Source organism: Homo sapiens, chromosome 1, assembly GCF_000001405.40.
Source record: "Homo sapiens chromosome 1, GRCh38.p14 Primary Assembly".
NCBI classification, from domain to species: Eukaryota; Metazoa; Chordata; class Mammalia; order Primates; family Hominidae; genus Homo; species Homo sapiens.
The window spans coordinates 224998873-225023221 of record NC_000001.11 but is presented as its reverse complement, the minus strand read 5'-3'; the positions used below and the strand labels follow the sequence as shown (position 1 = coordinate 225023221).

Sequence of the window (24349 nt, the reverse complement as noted above, 5' to 3'; positions counted from 1 at the left end):
TATGCAGGTTTGTTACACGGTTAAATTGTGTATTGCTGAGTCTTGGGGTATGAATTATCCCATCACATGGGTAGTGAGCATAGTCAACAATAGGTTGCCTTTTAACCCATACCTTCCCCTCACCCTCCTCCCTCAAGCAGTCTCCAGTGTCTGTTGTTCCCATCTTCCTGCCCATGTGTAACTATGTTTATCTCCCACTTATATGTGAAGATATGTGGTATTTGGTTTCTGTTCCTGTGTCAGTTTGCTTAAAATAATGACCTCCAGCTGCATCATGCTGCTGCAAAGGACATGATATCGTTCTTTTCATGGCTGGGTGGTATTCCATAGTGTATATGTACCACATTTTCTTTATCCAGTCCACCAATGATGGGCATCTAGGTTGATTCCATGTCTTTGCTATTGTGAATAGTGCTGCAATGAACATAAGCATGAATGTGTCTTTTTGGTAGAACAATTTATTTTCCTTTGGGTATATATCCAGTAGAGGGATTGCTGAGTTGAATGGTAGTTCTCTTTTAAGTTCTTTGAGAAGTCTCCACACTGCTTTCCAAAGTGGCTGAACTAATTTACATTGCTACCAGCAGGGTGTTTCCTTTTTGCCACATCCTCACCAGCATCTATTGTTTTTTGACTTTTTAATAACAGCCATTCTGATTGGTGTAAGATGTTAACTCATTTTGGTTTTGATTTGGATTTCTCTAATGATTGGTGGTCATATTTTTAATATATTTGTTGGCTACATGTATGTCTTCTTTTGAGAAGTATTTGTTCATATCCTTTGCCCATTTTTTAGTGGAGTTATTTGGTTTTTTGTTTGTTGGGGTGTTAAAGAGCCTTATAGACTCTGGATGTTAGAACTTTGTCAGATGCACAGATTGTGAATATTTTCTCTCATTCTGTAAGTTGTCTGTTTACTCTGTTGATAATTTTGCTTGCCATGCAGAAGCCCTTTAGTTTCATTAGGTCCCACTTATCAATTTTGTTTTTGCTGCAATTGCATTTGGGGACTAGGTCATAAATTCTTTGTCAAGGTTGATGTCCAGAATGGTATTTCCTAGGTTTTCTTCTAGGGTTTGTACTGTTTTAGGTCTTACATTTAAGTCTTTAATCCATCTTGAGTTAATTTTTGTATATAGTGACAGGAAGGGATCCAGTTTCAATCTTCTGAATATGGCTAGCCAGTTATCCCAGAAGCATTTATTGAAAAGGGAGTTCTTTCTCCATTGTTGTCATTGTAGACTGTGTGGCTTTATTTCTGAGTTCTCTACTTTGTTCCATTGGTCTATGTATCTGTTTTTGTACCCTTACCATGCTGTTTGGTTACTGTAGTCTTGTATAGTTTGAAGTCGGGTAATGTGATGCCTCCAGCTTTGCTCTTTTTGCTTTGGATTGCTTTGGCAATTCAGGTTCTTTGGTTCAACACAAATTTTAGAATAGTTTTTTTTTTGAATTGTGAAAAATGATGTTGGTAATTTGACAGGAATAGCATCAAGTCTGTAAACTGCTTTGGGCAGTATGGCCATTTTAACAATATTGATTTTTCCTATTCATCAGCATGGAATGTTTTTCCATTTGTTTGTGTCATCTCTAATTTCTTTCAGCAGTGCTTTGTAATTCTCATTGTACATATCTATCACCACCTTGGTTAACTGTATTCCTAGATATTTTATTCTTATTGTGGCTATTGTGAATGGCATTGATTTGGCTCTCAGTTTGGATGTTTTTGGTGTACAGAAATGCTACTGATTTTTGTACATTGATTTTATATGCTGAAACTTTCCTAAGTTATTTTATCAGATGTAGGAGCTTTTGGACAGAAACTATAAGGTTTCCTAGATAGAGAATCATATCATCTACAAACAGATAGTTTGACCTCTTCCTATCTGGATGCCTTATGCTTCTCTCTCTTGCATAATTGATCTGGCTAGAATTTCCAGTACTGTGTTTAACAGGAGTGGTAAGAGTTGGCATCCTTCTCTTGTTCCAGTTATCAGTGGGAATGGTTCCAGTTTTTGCCTGTTCAGTATGATGTTCACTGTGTGCTTGCCATATATGGCTCTGATTATTTTGAGGTATGTGGCTTCAATGCCCAGCTTGTTGAGAGTTTTTAACATGCAGGGATGTTGAATTTTATCAAAAGCATTTCCTGCATCTGTTGAGATGATCATGTGGTATTTGTTTTTAATTCTGATTACATAATAAATCACACTTATTGATTTGCATATGTTAAACCAACCTTCCTACTTCTCCATGGTAAATTAACTTTTTGATGTGCTGCTCCCTGGATTCAGTTTGCTGTACTACGTTGATAATTTGTGTGTCTGTGTTCATTAGGTATATTGGCCTGAAGTTTTCTTTTCTTGTTGTGTCTCTGCCAGGTTTTGGTATCAGAATGATGCTGGCCTCATAAAATAAGTTACGGAGGAGTCCTTCCTCCTTGATTTTTGGAAATAATTTCAGTAGGATTGGTACTAGCTCTTTGCGTATTTGGTAGAATCAAATCCATATGGTCCAAGGCTGTTATTGGTTTTTAGGTGTTTTATTACTGATTCAATTGGTCTGTTATTACTCTTTATTGGTCTGTTCAGGATTTCAATTTCTTCCTGGTTTAATCTTGGGAGGCTATGTGTTTCCAGGAATTTAATTTCTTGTAGGTTTTCTAGTTTGTATGCAAAGAGGTGTTTATAGTAGCCTTTGAGTTGTTTTTTTTTTTTTTTTTTTTGAGACAGAGCCTTGCTCTGTCACCCAGGCTGGATTCCAGTGGTGCAATCTTGGCTCACTGCAACCTCCGCCTCCCAGATTCAAGTGATTCTCCTGCCTCAGCCTCCTGAGTAGCTGAAACTACAGACACATGCCACCACACCTGGCTAATTTTTGTATTTCTAATAGAGATGAGGTTTCACCATGTTGGCCAGGCTGGTCTCAAACTCCTGACCTCAGGTGATCTGCCTTCCTTGGCCTCCCAAAGTGTTGGGATTACAAGCATGAGCCACCTTGCCTGGCTGAGATTTTTTTTTGTATTTCTCTGGGGTCAGTTATGATGCCACCTTTGTCATTTCTGATTGGGTGTATTTGGGTCTTCTTTATTTTTTTCCTTATAAATCTAGGCACCAGGCTATCAAACTTGTTTAATCTTCTGAAGAATCAACTTTTGGTTTTGCTGATCTTTTGTATGGATTTTCATGCCTCAGTTTTGTTCAGTTCTGCTCTAATTTTTGTAATTTCTTTTTTTCTGCTGGCTTTGGGATTTGTTTTCTCTTGTTTTTCTGGTTCCTCTAGGTGCAATAATTAGAGTCTTAATTTGAGATCTTTCTAACTTCTTGAGGTAGGTGTACAGCACTATAAACTTTCCTCTTCATCCTTCTTTAGTTGTGTCCTGAAGATTCTGGTATGTTGTGTCTGTTATTAGTTTCAAATAATTTTTTTAAATTTCTGCCTTAATTTTATTCTTTAACCAAAAGTCACTCAGAAGCTGGTTGTGCTTGAGCTGTGGTCCAACAGTGTGGTTGTTATGGTTTTGATTTTTGTGATTTAGTTGAGACTTACTTTATGGACAAATATGTGGTCAATCTTAGAGTATGTGCCATGTGCTGACGAGAAGAATGTATACTCTGTTGTTAGGCATAGTGTTCTGTAGGTGTCTGTTAGATCCAACTGGTCAAGTATCAAGTTTAAGTCCTGAATAGTTTTGTAGTTTTCTGCCTCAACAATGTGTCTAATGCTGTCATTGGGGTGTTGAAGTCCACCACTATTATTGCGTGGTTGTCTAAAACTCTTTGTAGGACTCTCAGTACTTGTTTAATGAATCTAGATGCTCCAATATTGGGTGTGCATATATTTAGAATATTTAAGTCTTTTAGTACTGAACTCTATATTGTTATGTAATGGCCTTCTTTGTCCTTTTTGATCATTGTTTGTTTAAGGTCTGTTTTAGCTGATATAAGAATAGCAACCTCTGCTCTTTTTTTTTTGTTTTCCATTTGCCAGACAGGTCTTTCTCTAACCCTTTACTTTGAGTCTATGGGTGTTGTTACTTGTGAGATGGGTCTCTTAGAGACAGCAGACAGTTGGGTCTTGCTTCTTTATCCAGTTTGTCACAGTTGGCCTTTAAAGTGGGGCATTTAGCCCATTTACATTCAAGGTCAATATTAACATGTGAGGATTTGATCTTGTCACTGTGTTATTAGCTTGTTGTTATGTAGACCTAATTTTACAGTTGTGTTAAAATGTCAATGGCCTATGTACTTAAGTGTGTTTATGTACTCAAGCGTGTTTTTGTGGTGGCAGGGAATGTTCTTTCATTTCCATGTTTAGCACTCCCTTTAGGACCTCTTGTAAGGTAGGTCTAGTGGCAACAAATTTCCTTACCATTTGCTTCTCTGACAAGGATTTCATTTCTCCTTTGCTTATGAAGCTTAGTTTGGTGGGATATGACATTTTTGGTTGGAATTTCTTTCCTTTAAGGATGTTAAAAATAGGCCTCTAATCTCTGTAGACTTGTAAGGTTTCTGCTAAAAGGACTGCTGTTAGCCAGAAGGGGTTCCCTTTGCCAGTGATCTGCCCTTCTCTCTAACTCCCTTTAAGATTTTTTCTTTCATGTTGACCTTGGAGAATTTGATGACTATGTGTCTTGGGGATGATTAACTTGGGGATGATCAACTCCTTCACACAGGAGTTCTCTGAATTTCTTGAATTTGCAAGTTGACCTCTCTAGCAAGATTTCAAAATTGTCATGGACTATATCCTCAAATATGTTTCCAAAGTGGCTTGCTCTCCTCTTTAAGGAAACTCAATCTGGTTAAGAACCTTTGCTGTTTGATCTCTTTACAGAATCCCGTATTTCTCAACTGTTGTGTTCATTTTTAAACTTCTTTTTTCTTTATTTTTCATTGCTTCAAGTGAGCAATCTTCCAGCTCTGAGATTCCTTCCTCAGCTTGGTCTAATGCCTCCAATTATATTTTGAAATTCTTGTAGTTAATTTTGCATATCCCGAAATTCAGTTTGGTTCTTTCTTAAAATGGTTAGGTTGTCCTTCAACTCTTGGATTGTTTTACTGTTTTCCTTGGATTTGGTTTTGACCTTCTCTTGTACCTCGATGAGCTTCCTTGCCATTCAGATTCTGAATTAAATGTGTGACATTACAGCAATTTCAACGTGGTTAAGAACCTTTCCTGGAGAGCTAGTGTGATTATTTGGAGGTAAGAAGACACTCTGGCTTTTAGAGTTGCAGAGTTCTTACACTGTCTGTTTCTGATCTGTGAAAGCTGATGTTCCTTTATCCTTTGAAGTTGTTGTTCTTTGGACTGGGCTTTGTTTTTATGTTCTTTATTGCCCTCAAGTATTTGGCTGTGGTGCAAGTTGGGTAAAGTTGAAAGGCTTTGTTTCTGAATGCTTTCAGTGGGCCAACTCTCACTTCAACACTCCTGGGCAGCATGCTTTAACCTTGGGTGGCTAGGACTGGGCCCATAGCTTTGTGCTCTGATCACTCATGGGCAAGCCCCAGCTGGGCTGGAGAGGCCAAGGTGCTCCCAGACTGCAGGCAATAGCACTGCGCTAGGGGTTGCAGGGTGACCATCGGTGGGAAACACTCCAATGTGGCAGTGGTGGAGTCCTTAGTGACCATGCTCTGGTGGGAGGCTGTCAGCAAAAGTGTTCCAATGGGGGAAGCATGAGCACCCCAGGTGGGAAGTACTCTGGTAGGGGCAGCAGGGGTGCCATGAGTGAACACATTCTGGCAGGGGGCTGCCAGCAAAAGTGCTCCAGTGGGGTAGCAGGAGCCTCATGAGAAAGCACAATGGCAGTGGCTGCTGGCAACAGCAGACCAGCAAAGTCTACAGTATTTTTATTAGCCTGATTAATATATATTGGAATTTAACTTTATCAACAACTTTCATTACAACTTTTACTACATGCTCATACTGTATTTAAACATTAGACAAAAAGAAGACTACTTATATGTGCTGAAGCCTATAAAGTTTGGTGTCTCACTTATAAGCAGATAACTTAAGTTTTGGAAATCAAACAAGGAAGTATATACTAATAAATATCTGTGTGTTCCTACATAAAGGGATCATCCTCCAACATACTGAATGTCATCTTGAAAAACAAGAAACTATGTCACCTCCAAATGAAAACAATAATACTGTAGTAACAGGCCCCAGTCATAAAGAAATGTATAAGATGCCAGAAAAATAATTCAAAATATTAATCTTAGGGAAATTCAGTGAAATATATGAGAATACAGATAGACAATTCAATGAGACCAGGAAAACAATTCATAAACTGAATGAAAAATTAAATAAAGATATATATCATAGAAAAGAACCAAATAGAAATCCTAGAACTGAAAAATTTAATGAAGGAAATTTAAAAATGCAACTGAGACCTTCAGCAACAGACTAGACCAAGCAGAAGAAAATTTCTGAACCTGAAGACCGGGCATTTGAAATAACACAGGCAGACAAAAAAAAAGAAAAGAAAAAGAAAAAAAACAGTGAAGAAAACTCACAGGATTTATGGAACACCATTAAGTGACAAATATTCAGATTATGGTTGTTGCAGAAAGAGAAGAGAAAAACAAGAAAAATATGTTTAATGAAATAATAGCTAAAAATTTCCCATGTCTTGGAAGAGAAATGAACATCCAGGTCTAATAAGCTAAACAAACCCAAAGAGATTAAACTCAAACATGTCCTCTCTGGGGCACATTATAGTCAAATTGACAAAGTCAAAGAGAAAGAAAGAATTTTAAAAGTATCAAGAATGTCAAGTCACATATAAGGGAATTTCCATTAGATAAGCAGATTTCTCAGCAGAAACTTTACAGGCCAGGAGACATTGGAATGATATATACAAAATATTGAAAGAAATAAACTATCAGCCAAGAATATTATTCCCAGCAGAGAAATTCTTCTGAAATGAAGAATAAATAGAATCTTTTACAGATAAGCAAAAACTGAGGGAATTCTGAGGAGGAAAAGTTAAATTAAACTTAAAAAGTTAAATCTGAACTCAATTGAACATGGACACCAAGGGACAATGGTCACCAAGTCCCAGAACAGGTTGTGTGAGCCCCTTGAGGTATTCATCCAGCACTGTTTCAGAGCCTATACATTAGTTATTGAAAAACAATAGACAATCACCAAAAAAAGTTGACCTTTTTGTGTTCCTTAAGCCCTGTCCTGAAGGGCCCTCGTGAGTGGACATCATGCCAAAAAATTCATTACAATAAGAGCTACAGTCCCAGACTGCGCCAAAGCTACATGAGACCTCTCCTTGTCTGTGCACAGATGAGTGGCCGACTCTGGAACCCAGGCTGTTGCTTCCCACTCTGGTGTTAAACCCTCCATAGTCTGGTGAGTGTGGTATCCACCTCTGGAGCCCAGGCTGTTGCTTCCCACTCTGGTGGTGAATCCTCCATAGTCTGGTGAGTGTAAATATCTTTTCCTTCTCCTCTTCCCATTGCAATTTGCTTATTATATCAATCTGCTTATTATATCATTTGATTATTAGTATATCATTTGCTTACTATAACATTTGCTTATTACATCTGCATTGCCATTTACATGGGGTAAACGTTGTTTACCCTTAAAGGTATTGTGTGTGTATCTTTTTTCTCTCACACATTTCCCAAACAGAATAAGTTCGTCACCTCTAGAATGGACTTACAAGAAATACTCAGGAGAGTCTTAAAGCTGGAAGTGAAAAGATGATAACCACCATCGTGCAAACATGCAAAACTATAAAACTCACTAGTAGAGCTGATATACAAAGGAGAGAGGCAAATCAATCAAACCTTATCACTACGGAAAACCACCTAACTGCAAAAATAACAATAAGAGAGGAAGAAACAAAGAATATTAAAGAACAACCAGAAAACAATCTAAAATTACAGGAGTAAGTCCTCATCTATCAAGAATAACCTTGAAAGTAAATGAATTACATTTCTCATTTAAAAGACATGGACTGGCTGAGTGATTAAAATACAAGACTCAACTATATGCTGCCTACAAGAAACCTACCACACCTGTAAAGACATGCACAGACTGAAAGTGAAGAGATAAAAAAGATACTCCACGTAAACAAAAACCGAAATCAAGCAGAAGTGTCTATGCTTATATCAACAAAACAGATTTAAAGTGAAAACCTATAATAATAGACATGGAGGACATTATATAATAATAAAGGAATCAGTTCAGCAAGATAATATAACAATTGTAAATATATATGCACACATCACTAGACTATCCAGATATATAAAGCAAATATTGTCAGATCTAAAGGAAGAGATAGACCCTAATATAATAATACTTTGAGACTTCAACATTCCACTCTCAGCATCAAATAGATAATCTAGACAGAAGCCCAACAAAGAAACAACAGATTTGAACTAAACAATAAACTAAATGGACCTCATAAACATTTACAAAACATTTTGCCCAACAGCTGCAGAATACACATTATTTTCATCAGCACATGGAACATTCTCCATGATTGACCATATTTTAGAACACAAGTCTCAACACATTTCAGAAATTAAAATCATATCAAGTATCTTATCTGAGCACAGGGGAATAGAGCTAGACATCAATAACAAGAGAAACAGCTGAAGCTATACAAATACATGAAAATTAAACATGTTCCTGAACAACAAATGGGTGAAGAAACTAAGAATGAAATTTTGAAATTCTTTGAACAAATGAAAATTGAAACATAATATATCAAAACCTATAGGACACGGCAAAAGCAATACTAAGAGGCAAATTTATAGCAATAAGTGCCTACATTAAAAAAAAAAAACTAGTGAGGAAAGATGGCCAAATAGAAACAGCTCCAGTCTGCAGCTCCCAGCAAGACCAACACAGGAAGTGGGTGATTTCTGCATTTCCAACTGAGGTACCTGGTTCATCTCATTGGGACTGGTTAGACAGTGGGTGCAGCCCAAAGAGGGCAAGCCAAAGTAGGGTGGGGCGTCGCCTCACCCAGGAAGTGCAAGAGGTCAGGGAACTCCCTCCGCTAGCCAAAGGAAGCCATGAGGGACTATGCCATGAGGGACAAGACTATCCAGCCCAGATGCTACACTTTTCCCATGGTCTTGGCAACCCACAGACCAGGAAATTCCCTCAGGTGCCTACACCACAAGGGCCCTGGGTTTCAAACACAAAACTGGATGGCTTGTATGGCAAAAATCCGAGCTAGCTGCAGGAGTTTTTTTCATACCCCAGTGGCACCTGGAACACCAGTGAGACAGAACCATTCACTCCCCTAGAAAGGGGGATGTAGCCAGGAAGCCAAGTGGTCTTGCTCAACAGATCCCACCCCCAAGGAGCCCAGCAAGCTAAGATCCACTGGGTTGAAATTCTCGCTACCAGCACAGCAGTCTGAAGTCGACCTGGGATGCTCAAGCTTGGTGGGGAAAGGGGCATCCACCATTACTGAGGCTTGAGTAGGCAATTTTCCCCTCACAGTGTAAACAAAGCCCCTGGGAAGTTTGGACTGGGCAGACCCTACCACAGCACCTGAAAGCCACTGTAGCTAGACTGCTTCTCTAGATTCCTCCTCTCTGGGTAGGGCATCTCTGAAAGAAAGGCAGCAGCCCCAGTCAGGGGCTTACAGATAAAACTCCCATCTCCTTGGCACAGAGCACCTGGGGAAAGGGGTGGCTGTGGGAGAGCTTCAGCAGACTTAAACATTCCTGCCTGCCAGGTCTGAAGAGAGTAACAGATCTCCCAGCACAGTGCTAAAGGACTGACTGCCTCCTCAAGTGGGTCCCTGACCCCCGTGCCTCCTGACTGGGAAACACCTCCCAGTAGAGGTCGACAGACACCTCATACAGGAGAGCTCCGGCTGGTATCTGGTGGGTCCCCCTGAGACAAAGCTTCCAGAGGAAGGAGCAGGCAGCAATCTTTGCTGTTCTGCAGCCTCCATTGGTGATACCCAGGCAAACAGGGGCTAAAGTGGACTCCCAGCAAACTCCAGCAGACCTACAGATGAGGGGCCTGACTGGTAGAAGCAAAACTAACAAACAGAAAGCAATGGAATCAACATCAACAAAAAAAAAATGACCATGCAAAAACTCCATCTGAAGGTCACCAACAGCAAAGACCAAAGGTAGATAAATCCACGAAGATGAGGAAAATCCAGCGCACCAAGGCTGAAAATTCCCAAAACCAGAAGGCCTCTTCTCCTCCAAAGAATCACAGCTCCTCACCAGCAAGGGAACAAAACTGGATGGAGAATGAGTTTGATGAACTGACAGAAGTAGGCTTCAGAAGGTGGGTAATAACAAACTCCTCCAAGCTAAAGCAGCATGTTCTAACCCAATGCAAGGAAGGTAAGAACCTTGATAAAAGGCTGGAGGAATTTCTAACTAGAATAACCAGTTTACAGAAGAACATGAATGACCTGACGGAGCTGAAAAACACAGCACGAGAACTTTCTGAAGCATACACAAGCATCAACAGCCAAAGCAATCAAGTGGAAAAAAGGATATCAGAGATTGAAGATCAACTTAATGAAATAAAGTGTGAAGACAAGCCTAGAGAAAAAAGAATGAAAAGGAATGAACAAAGTCTCAAAGAAATATGAGACTATGTGAAAAGACCAAACCTACGTTTGATTGGTGTACCTGAAAGTGACAGGGAGAACGGAACCCAGTGGGAAAACACACTTCAGGATATTATCCAATCTAGCAAGAGAGAACTTCCCCAATCTAGCAAGACAGGCCAATATTCAAATTCAGGAAATACAGAGAACACCACAGAGATACTCCTCGAGAAGAGCAACCCCAAGACATATAATCATCAGATTCACCAAGGTTAAAATGAAAAAAAAAATGTAAAGGTCAGCCAGAGAGAAAGGTTGAGTTACCTGCAAAGGGAAGCCCATCAGACTAACAGTGGATCTCTTGCAGAAACTCTACATGCTAGAATAGAGTGGGGGCCAATATTCAACATTCTTAAAGAAAAGAATTTTCAACCCAGAATTTCATTTCCAGCCAAATTAAGCTTCACAAGTGAAGGAGAAATAATATCCTTTAAAGACAAGCAAATGCTGAGGGATTTTGTCACCACCAGGCCTGCCTTATAAGAGCTCCTGAAAGAAGCACTAAATATGGAAAGGAAAAACCGGTACCAGCCACTGCAAAAACATGCCAAATTGTAAAGACCATTGATACTATGAAGAAACTGCATCAACTAATGGGCAAAATAACCAGCTAGCATCATAATGACAAGATGAAATTCACACATAATAATATTAACCTTAAATGTAAACAGGCTAAATGCCCCAATTAAAAGACACAGACTGGCAAATCAGATAAAGAGTCAAGATCCATCGGTGTGCTGTATTCAGGAGACACATCTCACGTGCAAAGACACACATAGGCTCAAAATAAGGGGATGGAGGAAGATGTACCAAGCAAATGGAAAGCAAAAAAAAAAAAAAAAAAAAAAAAAAAAGCAGAGGTTGCATTCCTCGCATCTGATAAAACAGTCTTTAAACCAATAAAGATTAAAAAAAGACAAAGAAGGGCATTACATAATGGTAAAGGGATCAACCCAACAAGAAGAGCTAATTATCCTAAATATATATGCACCCAACACAGGAGCACCCAGATTCATAAAGCAAGTTCTTAGAGACCTACAAAGAGGCTTAGACTCACACACAATAATAGTGGGAGACTTTAACACCTCACTGTCAACAGATCAATGAGACAGAAAATTAACAAGGATATTTAGGACTTGAACTCAGCTCTGGACCAAGCAAACCTAATAGACATCTACACAACACTCCACCCCAAATCAACAGAATACACATTCTTCTCAGCACCATATAGTACTTGCTTCTGAATGACTACTGGGTAAATGACAAAATTAAAGCAGAAATGATTAAGTTCTTTGAAACCAATGAGAACAAAGACATAACATACCAGAATCACTGGGACACAGCTAAAGCAGTGTTTAGAGGGAAGTTTATAGCAATAAATGCCCACAGGAGAAAGTGGGAAAGATCTAAAATCGACACCCTAACATCACAATTAAAAGAACTAGAGAAGCAAGAGCAAACAAGTTCAAAAGTTAGCAGAAGACAAGAAATAACTAAGATCAGAGCAAAACTGAAGGAAATAGAGACACACAAAAAAAGTTCAAAAAATCAATGAATCCAGGAGCTGTTTTTTTTTCAAGAGATTAACAAAATGGATAGACCACTAGCCAGACTGATAAAGAAGAAAAGAGAGAAGAATCTAGTAGACACAATAAAAAATGATGAAGGGGAGACAACTACTGATCCCAAAGAAATACAAACTACCATCAGAGAATACTATAAATACCTCTATACAAATAAAATAGAAAATCTAGAGGAAATGGATAAATTCCTGGACACATACAGCTTCCCAAGACTAAACCAGGAAGAAGATGAAACCCTGAATGGACCAATAACAAGTTCTGAAATTGAGGCAGTAATTAATAGCCTACCAACCAAAAAAAGTCCAGGACCAGATGGAATCACAGCTGAATTCTACCAGAGGTACAAAGAGGAGCTGGTACCATTCTGTCTGAAACTATTCCAAACAATAGAAAAGGAGAGACTCCTCCCTAACTCATTTTCTGAGGCCAGCATCATCCTGATACCAAAACCTGGTAGAGACACAACAAAAAAAGAAAATTTCAGGCCAATATCCCTGATGAACATCGATGCAAAAATCCTCAATAAAATATTGGCAAACCGAATCCAGCAGCACATTAAAAAGCTTATCCACCAAGATTAAGTCAGGTTCATCCCTAGGATGCAAGGCTGGTTCAACATACACAAATCAATACACGTAGTCCATCACATAAACAGAACCAATGATGAAATCCACATGATTATCTCAATAGATGCAGAAAAGGCCTTTGATAAAATTAAACACCCCTTCATGCTAAAAACTCTCAATAAACTAGGTATTGATGGAACAGATCTCAAAATTATAAGAGCTATTTATGACAAACCCACAGTCAATATTATACTGAACAGGCAAAAGCTGGAAGCATTCCCTTTGAAAACTGGCACAAGACAAGGATGCCCTCTTTCACCACTCCTATTCAACATAATATTGGAAGTTCTGGCTAGGGCAATCAGGCAACAGAAAGAAAGAAACGTATTCAAATAGGAAGAGAGGAAGTCAAATTAACTCTCTTTGCAGATGACATGATCGTATATTTAGAAAACCCCATCATTTCAGTCCAAAAACTCCTTAACCTGATAAGCAACTTCAGCAAAGTCTCAGGATACAAAATCAATGTGCAAAAATCACAAGCGTTCCTATACACCTATAATAGACAAACAGAGAACCTAATCATGAGCAAACTCCCATTCAAAATTGCTACAAAGAGAATAAAATACAACTTACAAGAGATGTGAAGGACCTCTTCAAGGAGAACTACAAACAACTGTTCAAGGAAATAAGAGAGGACACAAACAAATGGAAAAACATTCCATGCTCATGGATAGGAAGAATCAATAATGTGAAAATGGTCATACTTCCCAAAGTAATTTATAGATTCAATGCTATTCCCATCAAGCTACCATTGACTTTCTTCACGTAATTAGAAAAAACTACTTTAAATTTAATATGGAACCAAAAAAGAGCCTTTATAGCCAAGACAATCCTAAGCAAAAAGAACAAAGCTGGAGGCATTATGCTACCTGACTTCAAACTATATTACAAGGCTGCAGTAACCAAAACAGCATGGTACTGGTACCAAAACAGATATATAGACCAATGGAACAGAACAGAGGCCTCAGAAGTAACATCACACATCTACAACCATCTGATCTTTGAAAAACCTGACAAAAACAAGAAATGGGGAAAGGATTCCCTATTTAACTAAAAGTGTTGGGAAAACTGGCTAGCCATATGCAGAAAACTGAAACTGGACCCCTTCCTTACACCTTATACAAAAATTAACTCAAGATAGATTAAAGGCTTAAATGTAAGACCTAAAACCATAAAAACCCTAGAAGAAAACCTAGGTAATACCAGGACATAGGCATGGGCAAAGACTTCATGACTAAAACACCAAAAGCAATGGCAACAAAAGCCAAAATTGACAAATGGGATCTAATTAAACTAAAGAGCTTCTGCACAGCAAAAGAAACTACCATCAGAGTGAACATGCAACCTACAGAATGGGAGAAAATTTTTACAATCTATCCATCTGACAAAGGGCTAATATCCAGAATCTACAAAGAACTTAAACAAATTTACGAGAAAAAACAACCCCATTAAAAAGTGGGCAAAGGATATGAACAAACACTTTTCAAAAGAAGACATTCATGTGGCCAAAAAAGGATATGAACAGACACTTTTCAAAAGAAGACATTCATGTGGCCAACAAACATATGAAAAAAAACAGCTCATCATCACTGGTCATGAAAGAAATGCAAATCAAAACCACAATGAGATACCATCTCATGCCAGTTAGAAGGGCGATCATTAAAAAGTCAGGAAACGGCCAGGCGCGGTGGCTCATGCCTGTAATCCCAGCACTTTGGGAGGCCAAGGTGGGTGAATCACGAGGTCAGGAGATCAAGACAATCCTGGCTAACACAGTGAAACCCTGTCTCTACTAAAAATACAAAAAAAAAAAAAAAAAAAAAAAGTCAGGAAAAAACAGATGCTATAGAGAAATAGGAACGCTTCTACACTGTTGTTGGGGTGTAAATTAGTTTGAACATTGTGGAAGATAGTAGGGATCTAGAACTAGAAATACCATTTGACTCAACAATCCCATTACTGTGTATATACCCAAAGGATTATAAATCATTCTACTATAAAGACTCATGCACACGTATGTTTATTGCAGCACTATTCACAATAGCAAATACTTGGAACCAATCCAAATGCCCATTAATGTTAGACTGGATAAAGAAAATGTGGCACATATACACCATGGAATACTACGCAACCATAAAAAAGAATGAGTTCATGTCCTTTGCAGGGATGCCGATGAAGCTGGAAACCATCATTCTCAGCAAACTAACACAGGAACAGAAAAACAAACACTGCATGTTCTCACTCATAAGTTGGAGATGAACAATGAGAACATATGGGCACAGGGAGGGGAACATCATACACTGGGGCATGTCGCGGGGTTGGGGGTAAGGGGAGGGATAGCATTAGGAGAAATACCGAATGTAAATGATGGGTTGATGGGTGCAGCAAACCACCATAGCACATGTATACCCATGTAACAAACCTGTACATTCTGCACATGTATCCCAGAACTTAAAGTATAAAAAAAAAAAAAGAAAAAAGAAATGTACATCCTCAGGCTGTGCCTACTGAAACAGAAATCTCTTGTTTTATCAGGCCTTCTAGGTGATTCTCTTGGCCACTAAAGTTTGAGAATCATCATCCTTAGCATTTAAATATATTAAATTTCATAAGTTGTATATAGATATACACATATATGCATTCACATATATATAAATATATATTTATTTGCATTTTATATCATACCTGGAAAAATTCTTGTATATAGTAAATACATAGTACCAGTTAGTTGGTTAATTAACCACCTTTGTTCCTTACCTTTCCATTTCAGATACTTTTTCCAGGGATGCAATTTGGATCAATTGCTTCAGCTAGTAAATTGCAACTTTGATAAATATGATATAATTAAAGAATTACCTTTAGAAAAGTACTTTTCATCTCTGAAATTGCTTTATTCCTGATGTCCTCAAGTTGTTTCAATGCCTGGGTAGCTTGCTGTAACTGCTCTTCACAAAATTCATCTAGAGAATATGTTCGAGAACTATCCAGCTAATTAGATGATAGTAAATGTTCAGTGTTAGAAAGTCAAAATTCATATTTAAAAAAGATAAAATATTTGGTCTTTTCAGGTCATAAAGAAGACTCCATATTTTACATTTTCTTCTGTATATCCTATATGACTTACATGTTTTTCAAATTTAAACACTTGTTAAATCTAACTAAATCTTGATTAAAATACAGAAAAATACATTGGTGTTTTAAACAATAAGTAAGATTAAACTGAAGCAGAAAATTCAAGAGCTGATGTGTTTTTTAAACATTTATGCATGCAGAGAATCCACCAATCCCAGAAACTACTTTTACTTTTGAAGTCACCATTATCTGTAACAATTTAAAACACAAAGATAAAATACAGCATTATTGGGGAAACCAGCACCCAATATTTCAACGTATGTTCTTTTCTATTTTCCCTAAGTGTCAGCCGGTCTGAGAAATAAAGAGAAAGAGTACAAAAGAGAGAAATTTTACAGCTGGGCCTCTGGGGGTGACATCACATATCGGCAGATTCCGTGATGCCCCCGAGCCGCAAAACCAGCAAGTTTTTATTAGGAATTTCAAAAGGGGAGGGAGTGTACGAATAGGGAGTGGGTCACAGAGATCACATGCTTCAAAAGGCAATACAATATCACAAGGCAAATGGGAGAGCAAGATCACAAGGCCAGGGCAAAATTAGAATTACTGATGAGGTTCCATGTCCCACTGGGCATGCATTGTCATCGATAAATGTCTTAAGAGGAAACAGGGTTTGAGAGCAGACAACCAATCTGACTAGAATTCACCAGGCTGGAATTTCCTAATCCTAGCAAGCCTGAGGGCGCTGCAGGAGACCAGGGCGTATTTCATCCCTTATCTTCAACCCCAATAGACAGACACTTCCAGAGTGGCCATTTTAGAGACCTTCCCCTGGGAATGCATTCCCTTCCCAGGGTTATTCCTTGCTGGGAAAAGAATTCAGCGATATTTCTCCTATTCACTCTCTGCAAGAAGAGAAATATGACTCTGTTCTGCCCGGCCCTGCAGGCAGTCAGACCTTATGGTTATCTCCCTTGTTTCCTGAAAATCATTGTTACCTGTTCTTTTTCAAGGTGCCCAGATTTCATCTTGTTCAAACACACATGTTTTACAAACAATTTGTACAGATAACGCAATCATAACAGGGTCCTGAGGGGACATACATCCTCAGCTTACGAAGATGACAGGATTAAGAGATTAAAGTAAAGACAGGCATAGGAAATTATAAGAGTATTGATTAGGGAAGTGATAAATGCCCATGAAATCTTCACAATTTATGTTCAAAGATTGCAGTAAAGACAGGCACAAGAAATTATAAAAGTATTTATCTGGGGAACTAATAAATGTCCATGAAATCTTCACAATTTATGTTATTCTGCCGTGGCTTCAGCCGGTCCCTCCGTTTGGGGTCCCCAACTTCCCACAACACAGCATAAAGAGGGTAAAATTAAATAATTCAAATAAGGTTAATTTTATTCAGAATTCATTCAGAATCTATAAGGAAGAAATCTCTATCTACTATGCTATGAATTAATCTCTGGTAATACAAAATCATAATGTTCCATACATGCGTGTATATTACATCATTCTTCCTTCTTTCAGTATTGTTTTTCCACTACTGTGTTAATTCTCTTAACAAAATACATTTTCATTAATAAATATACAGATATGTTTATCTTTTATCATATAGTTATATTATAAAAATTAATAAATGTATCTTCCCACAACAAAAAAGATTGAAAAGTACTGCTCTTGCTTAAAATTTTGGATTTACTCTTTAAGTTTCCATTCTCCTGGTCCCATATCTGACTACCAGGTCCAAATTTTTCAAAATTTCCCTGCCTTTCTGGTCTTACTGATGACATCCTAATTAAAGTCTTTATTGCTTATACCTGCATTTATCCAGTACTATAATAATTGATCTCTATCACTCAAGTATCTCTCCACTACCAATTTTTCCCAAAAACCAATATCACAATAATTTTCCTAAAATACCATGTTCAAAAACTTTGAATAGTTGTTCTTTAAAAGTAGTTCTCAAAATTTATCCTGCCTAACAGTTAACTGAGGAACCGATTTAAAATGTAGATTACCAGCACCACTCACTGCCCTCTCTTGCAAAAGGAGTGGGACACAAATATTTACATTTTTATTAAGCACCCAAATACTGCTCAATAAAACAAACTTCACCCGAATATGAAACATGATCCAAAGTCTCAACTCTAGATGATTCTGTCAACTTGGATAAGTGGCAATCTCTCTAGAACTAAGTTTTGTTCAAATAGGTGAATTTTATTCAAAATTCATTCAGAATCTAGCTGGGAGAAATCTCCATCAACTAAGCTAAGAATTAATCTCTGGTAATACAAAAACATAATATTCCATCCACTTGAAAGTGAAGATTTGAACAAAGAACATATGTTCTTTACCTTCCAGTTCGAGAAATTCCACCCTCTTTAAAGGTATGCTTTCATCCCAGCAGAGTACACGTATGACCACCATTAACGGCATTAACTTCTGAACAATCCCATTCTTCACATTCATAACCTTGCTTCATTCTCCTTACATCCTCGTTGTCAGTCTTCATTGGCATCTGCATCCCTGGGCTATGCATAACCTTCCGATTCTAATGCACAACTGGCCACCTTGACTCCTGACCCCAGCTTGGTTCTCCAGGATATGAATCTCCACTCTTCCTCCATCTAAACCTGGCTTTTCCACATACAGTATCAGAAATTCCCATTCTTGTAAATTGCCCTCATAACAATCACCACTAGGAGTGCCCCTGCCCTATGGGCAGGTTGAAATCCTACTTTTCCCCTACTGTGTTATTCTTGGCCTGACATTCATGAGCCAATCTAACTTTCAAATCAAATATATATTGAATGCCTTACTCACATTTATATTCTTTATTTAAAAGCCTTATCTCCTCTTCTATGGCTATTCAAATCCAGCACAGCCTAGCTCAAAATATGAGGCATGACCTAACTTTAATTCCAAATAAGGCTAATCTCTGCCTCCTCTGGATTTCTGTAACATGACTGTTTTACAAGTATTATTTGCCAGTAAACATTCCTTACCTTATACTTTGCTAATGGGTTAGGTAGAATGATTAGCATAACAAAGAAACTATCTCTAGAATTAGTTTTCATTTTTATATATAAAGAATTATTTCTTCCCATGAACTGTAAGCAGATTGAAAATAGCAAAGCTTTGTTTTTCACTTTGTATTCATCTCTTTTGCACAGCATTTCGCATATAATAGATAATAAATACTTACATACTGTCTGGAAAAGTTTGTTCTCTTCCTCCTGATGTTCTATATTAAAGCTGACATGGCCTGAGGTCTCTAGGAAAGAGTCCTAACATTTCTTCTCTATCACTAGTAATGTTCTCTATCATTTGGTGGCATTTAAGGCACAGACTTCAAAGGTATTTTAAAGTCTTTTATGCCTTCCCACCCATCATTAAAAATTAATAAATTTTGTCACTCAGCCATTTACAAAATAATCTGATATTACAGATTATTTTATTTCCTTCTACAAGAAAACCATATCCTATTTCCTTCTACATAAAAACCAAATCAAAGAGATTCCTCTGTGAAATGTCTCCTACTTAAGGTGAATTTAATCCTTTTGAAACATAAACATTCTCTATATAAGTATAAAAAATATACATCTATGTGATAATTCCTCCTCCTTCATTAGTTTATTCTTTTATTCACTCAAAGACTATTGGTGAGCACCTACTATGTATCTGTCATTACACATAATCAATTCTAAACATACGATGTTGATTTACAAGTATTGATCTTGTTACATGCAGTCAACACAACTGATTTTCGAGCTAATTTTCAAATATTTAACTTGTCTAAGCCCCTTAACAATTCCTCTTTCTTAGTCTAGATAACTCTATCAATTTTACTTTTTTCCCCATACATTGAGTGAGTGAAGTAAAATCTGCTAGAATCTTGTTCAATTGTAGACTTAATTAGTTCTAGGTACTTAACCACTCAAAAGAGCTATCTTATATAAATTAAGTTATTCCATTAACAGGCTCACTTTTTCTAGAATCTTGAAATAGGAGAATTCATAAATTTAACCAAAACTTCTGAGTTGAAGCTTATGATACTATCTTGACATGCTATACTAGAGGAAGAATATCAATTATGTATAAGAGATAACTGATTATTTTAAATCATATTACACATTCGGAAATACATTTGAAAATAAAGGGTCTTATAGACTTAGGTTAGGCATAAGGAAGAAATTACAAGAAATGTTAACTATTAAAATTTATTGCAAGGAACTCACATTCTTTGCAGATATTTTAGAACGGTAGTAATCGAAAGAGATGGTTTATTTATGAATTTAGAAATCTGTATTTTTTAATTCAAAATGCTATTTTTCTTCCTAGTTTCTATATACCAATATTAGCTTATAGTAGTATACTTCTACTCACCTTTACAAGGCATATGGCAGATAGATTATTTTCATGGTCATTATAATTTTTGAGATTAATTGCATCTTCACAAAGTCCTCTTATATAAACCAAACAGGTTTGAAACAAGTCATCAGCCAAAAAAAGATGGTGGTACAAAAATGACCTGAAAGTTAAAAAATTTCTACAGATATATCTCTCATTCAAAATGAATAAAATTAATTTAGAGGTAAGTAGTGTGGTTTAGTTAATATCCTTATAGTTGAAATGTTTTACATCTACCCCATTTTAAACGATAATGATTAGTAAGCATTAGGGGTTGTGTTTGGATGATAATGTTGTAGGCAAGGTTTTGGGGACTAGGTGTGTTGAATAAGAACAAAATAGGAGGGGGAAACAAGTAATGACATTCTGTTATGCCACTGAGTTCTAATAATTTTGAAATATGAGGAAGTATTATGTAAAATGAATTATATGTCCTCAATGTATTAAATTCACTAAATCTAAATAAATTCCTTCAATGTACTTTTCTCCCAATTATAGGAAACAATACTAACTGGAATAGGGACCACTGGGAGAATGTTTCTTAAAATCTCCAACTACCTATATCATAAAATAAAGAAGATGGGCCCTTTTCTTTTATCTGTCTTTTTCTACTAGTCTAAATAAAGGTGAGACAAATCACTACTAACTACACTGGAAATAACAGAAAGACAGAACTCGGGGAGAAAAGGGCAGAGTAGAAGAGATGAGGTTCCTTAAAAATTGGATCAAGTAAAGCAAACTTCCCTGTGCAACAGTGTGTGGAGAAGAGGGGGACTTCTGCCCTGAATCATCCCTTTGGAGTGGCTGATTTTTAAGGGTTATCAAGCTCATAATATACAGAAAATATAATAATCAGAAATTATCTCTTCCCTCTTTCTATTTTACAGTTGAGGGCTTTATATATTATAAAGCTAGTGAAGTTTAAGCTTCATGGGTTCATCATTTACACTGCCTATTCCAAAGCCTTGTACTATTTATCTTAAAGAACCCTCCCCAATTATATAAGCCTCACATAACATAAAACTACTCCTAGTCATAGAAGAATTTGATGACATCCCTCTAAGTATCTGATACAGAAAAAGAGATTATGCTAAAGACATGTGGCACATCATAGAAAGTAAAATATCACAAAAAGCAAACACAATCTCAGTACTTATTAACAAGATGGTGACTATCAAAATTTAGGTAATAATAAACTCACATTATTCAGTGTTTGTTTAAAGCTTTCTTTTTTTCCTTTAAAAATGTATTAAATTTTGGTTTGCATATTTCAACATAGATATGAAAATGGGGAGGGTGCACATAAAAATAACTATAGGCATGGAAAACATGAAAAAATTTATAGCTGTAATGCATGATCTAACAAGAAAAAAATAACACATTGACTGATGACTGTCTTCAAGCATAAGTATTATAAGGAATTCACCACAAATTTCTATTTTATTACAAAAGAAAACAAAATACATTCTCCACAACATAACTCACACACAAACTAGAACTGCTGGGTATTAGGGAACATATCACAAAAGACTATTACTACTCAGGTACTGGATTCCAGGAAAAATGAAATAGACATACTTTTCACTGTTTTACTGCTCAGTACAACTAAAAACTCTGGACATTACATTAAAGCAAACATAACAAAACATTGAAGGGTGGGGAAGAAAAAGCAAGGTGGCTAGAAATGACATGGTGGTAAGTTCCCTGGGTTTCCTTTTTGCCCAATATATCCCAGACTTGAAGCTGAAGAAACCAGTAACCTAGAAACGCCAATGGGTACAGATTAAAAAAAAAAAAAGTCCATTGCCTAGCTAAAGGACCAGGAAAGGGGCAGCCTACCATGACAGAAACTTTTATTCGATAACTATTCTATTCCAGCCAAATGCCATAGGGAAAAAAGGGTCAGTGGGAAGCCTAGAGTTCTACTCTTGGTGAATTGTTATAAAGCACCCTTAATGCCTCCATGGAGGGTTTTCAGGGAAACTGAAGTAGGGAGCTTGGACATTTGTCCCCATTGGGTGGTAATATGTAAAGAAATAGAAGACATAAAGAAGAACCAAATGGAAATTTTAGAATTAAAAAATACAATGACAGAAATACAAAAAAAACTCAATGGCTGAACTCAATGACAGAATGAAGCAGACAGAGAAACAAATCAGTGAACTGACAGAAAAACATAAATTATGCAATCCAAACAACAGGAAAAAAATGAGGGAAGTGAATCGTTTGAACTCAGGAGGTAGAGGCTGCAGTGAGCTGAGATCATGCCACTGCACTCCATCCAGCCTGGGCAACAGAGTGAGATCCCACCTCAGAAAAAAGAAAAAAAAAAAAAAAGAACAAACCTTCATTCACCTGTGGGATTATAAAATTGATCTAGCATTTGTGTCTGAAGTCCCAGAAGGAGAGGTTAAAGAAGACAGGGCTAAAAAAAAAAATACTTGAAGAAATAATGGCTGAAACATTCCAAATTTGTCAAAAGAAACACAAACCTAGAGATTCAAGAAGCTAAGGGAACTCAAAACAGAATAAAGACAAAATAATCCACACCAAAAACATGTCAAAGTCAAACTTCTGAAAACTAAACACAAAGAAAAAACCTTGAAATCAGCAAGAGGAAAAACACTTTATCCATAGGAGAAAAACAATTCAAATGACCATGGTTAGAAGAAAGTCACACAATGTTTTTCAAGTGCTGAAAGAAAGGAACTGTCAACCCAGAATCCTATATCTAGCAAAAATGTTCATGAATGAAGAGGAAATTAAGACGTTCTAAGACAAATGAAAAGTAGAACCTGTATACTAACAGACCCACACTAAAAATATGGCTACAGAAAGTTCTTTAAACAGAAATCAAACAACCAAACAATAAAAGAAGGAACACTGCAACATTAAAAAGGAAGAAAGAACATGATAAACAAAAATATAATCAAACAGAATATTCCTCTCATGAATTTTCTAAATTCTATTTGATGACAGAAGCAAAAATTATAACAATGTTTGATAAAGTTTCAAATGTATGCATAAAAACTATTTAAGACAATATATTACAAACAGGAAGGTAAAGAAACATGAAAGTTTCTACATATCATTCAAACTGATAAAATTATAACATCAGTAGACTGTAATATATATATAATCTTATACTATAGCAACCACTAAAAAAGCTACACAAAGAGACATATTGAAAAATACTATAGATAAATCAAAATGGAATTCTTAAAAATGTTCAAGGCAGGAAAAATAAAACATAGAAACAAACAGCAGAGAGAACGAACAGAATAAAAAAAATGGCTTACAACTTAAAGCCCATATAAATAATCAGATTAAATTTAAATAGTCTAAATATGGCAATTAAAAGACAGAGATTGGTAGAATGTATTTTAAAATATGGCATATGCTAGGCAACAGTGGCTCACACCTGTAATCCCAGCACTCTGGGAGGCCGAGGCAGGAAGCTCACCTGAGGTTGGGAGTTCGAGACCAGCCTGACCAACATGGAGAACCCCATCTCTACTAAAAATACAAAATTAGCCGGGCATGGTGGTGTGCGCCTGTAATCCCAGCTACTTGGGAGGCTGAGGCAGGAGAATGGCTTGAACCCGGGAGGCGGAAGTTGTGGTGAGTTGAGATCTTGCCATTGCACTCCAGCCTAGGCAACAAGAGTGAAATTCCATCTCAAAAACAAAACAAAACAAAAAAACAAACAAAAAAATCCATGGCACAACTATATGCTGTCTGTAAGAAACTCACTTCAAATAATAGGCATATCAAAAGTAAAAGGATGGGAAAGATATATTGTGTAAACACTAATCAAAAGAAAACATAGTGGCTATATTAATACCAAATAAAGAAACTACCAGAACAAAGAACAAAGAAAACTACCAGAAATACTGAGGGACACTATACAATGTTAAAAGCATCAATCCACCAAGAAGACAGAATAATTCTAAAAGGGTATGCACCAAACAATAGGGCTGCAAAATGTCAAACAAAAGCTGAACTGAAAGGAAAAAGAGACAAATCCACAA

General features: G+C 36.9%; 1 protein-coding gene across 22 annotated transcripts in view; it reads right to left on the bottom strand.

The window, feature by feature from the left end:
- The window catches only part of DNAH14 (dynein axonemal heavy chain 14), a 469633-nt gene that overhangs the window by 376065 nt on the left and 69219 nt on the right, over positions 1-24349 (bottom strand). For 21 of the 22 annotated variants that reach the window (XM_011544062.3, XM_011544067.3, XM_017000296.2 and 18 more), the window contains exons 9-10: positions 20295-20439; positions 15678-15809 (exon numbers count right to left, since the gene is read on the bottom strand). The exons of the other annotated variant lie outside the window; for it this stretch is intronic. In XM_011544062.3, coding sequence (XP_011542364.1) covers positions 15678-15809; positions 20295-20439 — 277 coding nt within the window. The remainder of the gene's footprint in view (positions 1-15677; positions 15810-20294; positions 20440-24349) is intronic. 22 annotated transcript variants of the gene reach the window in all.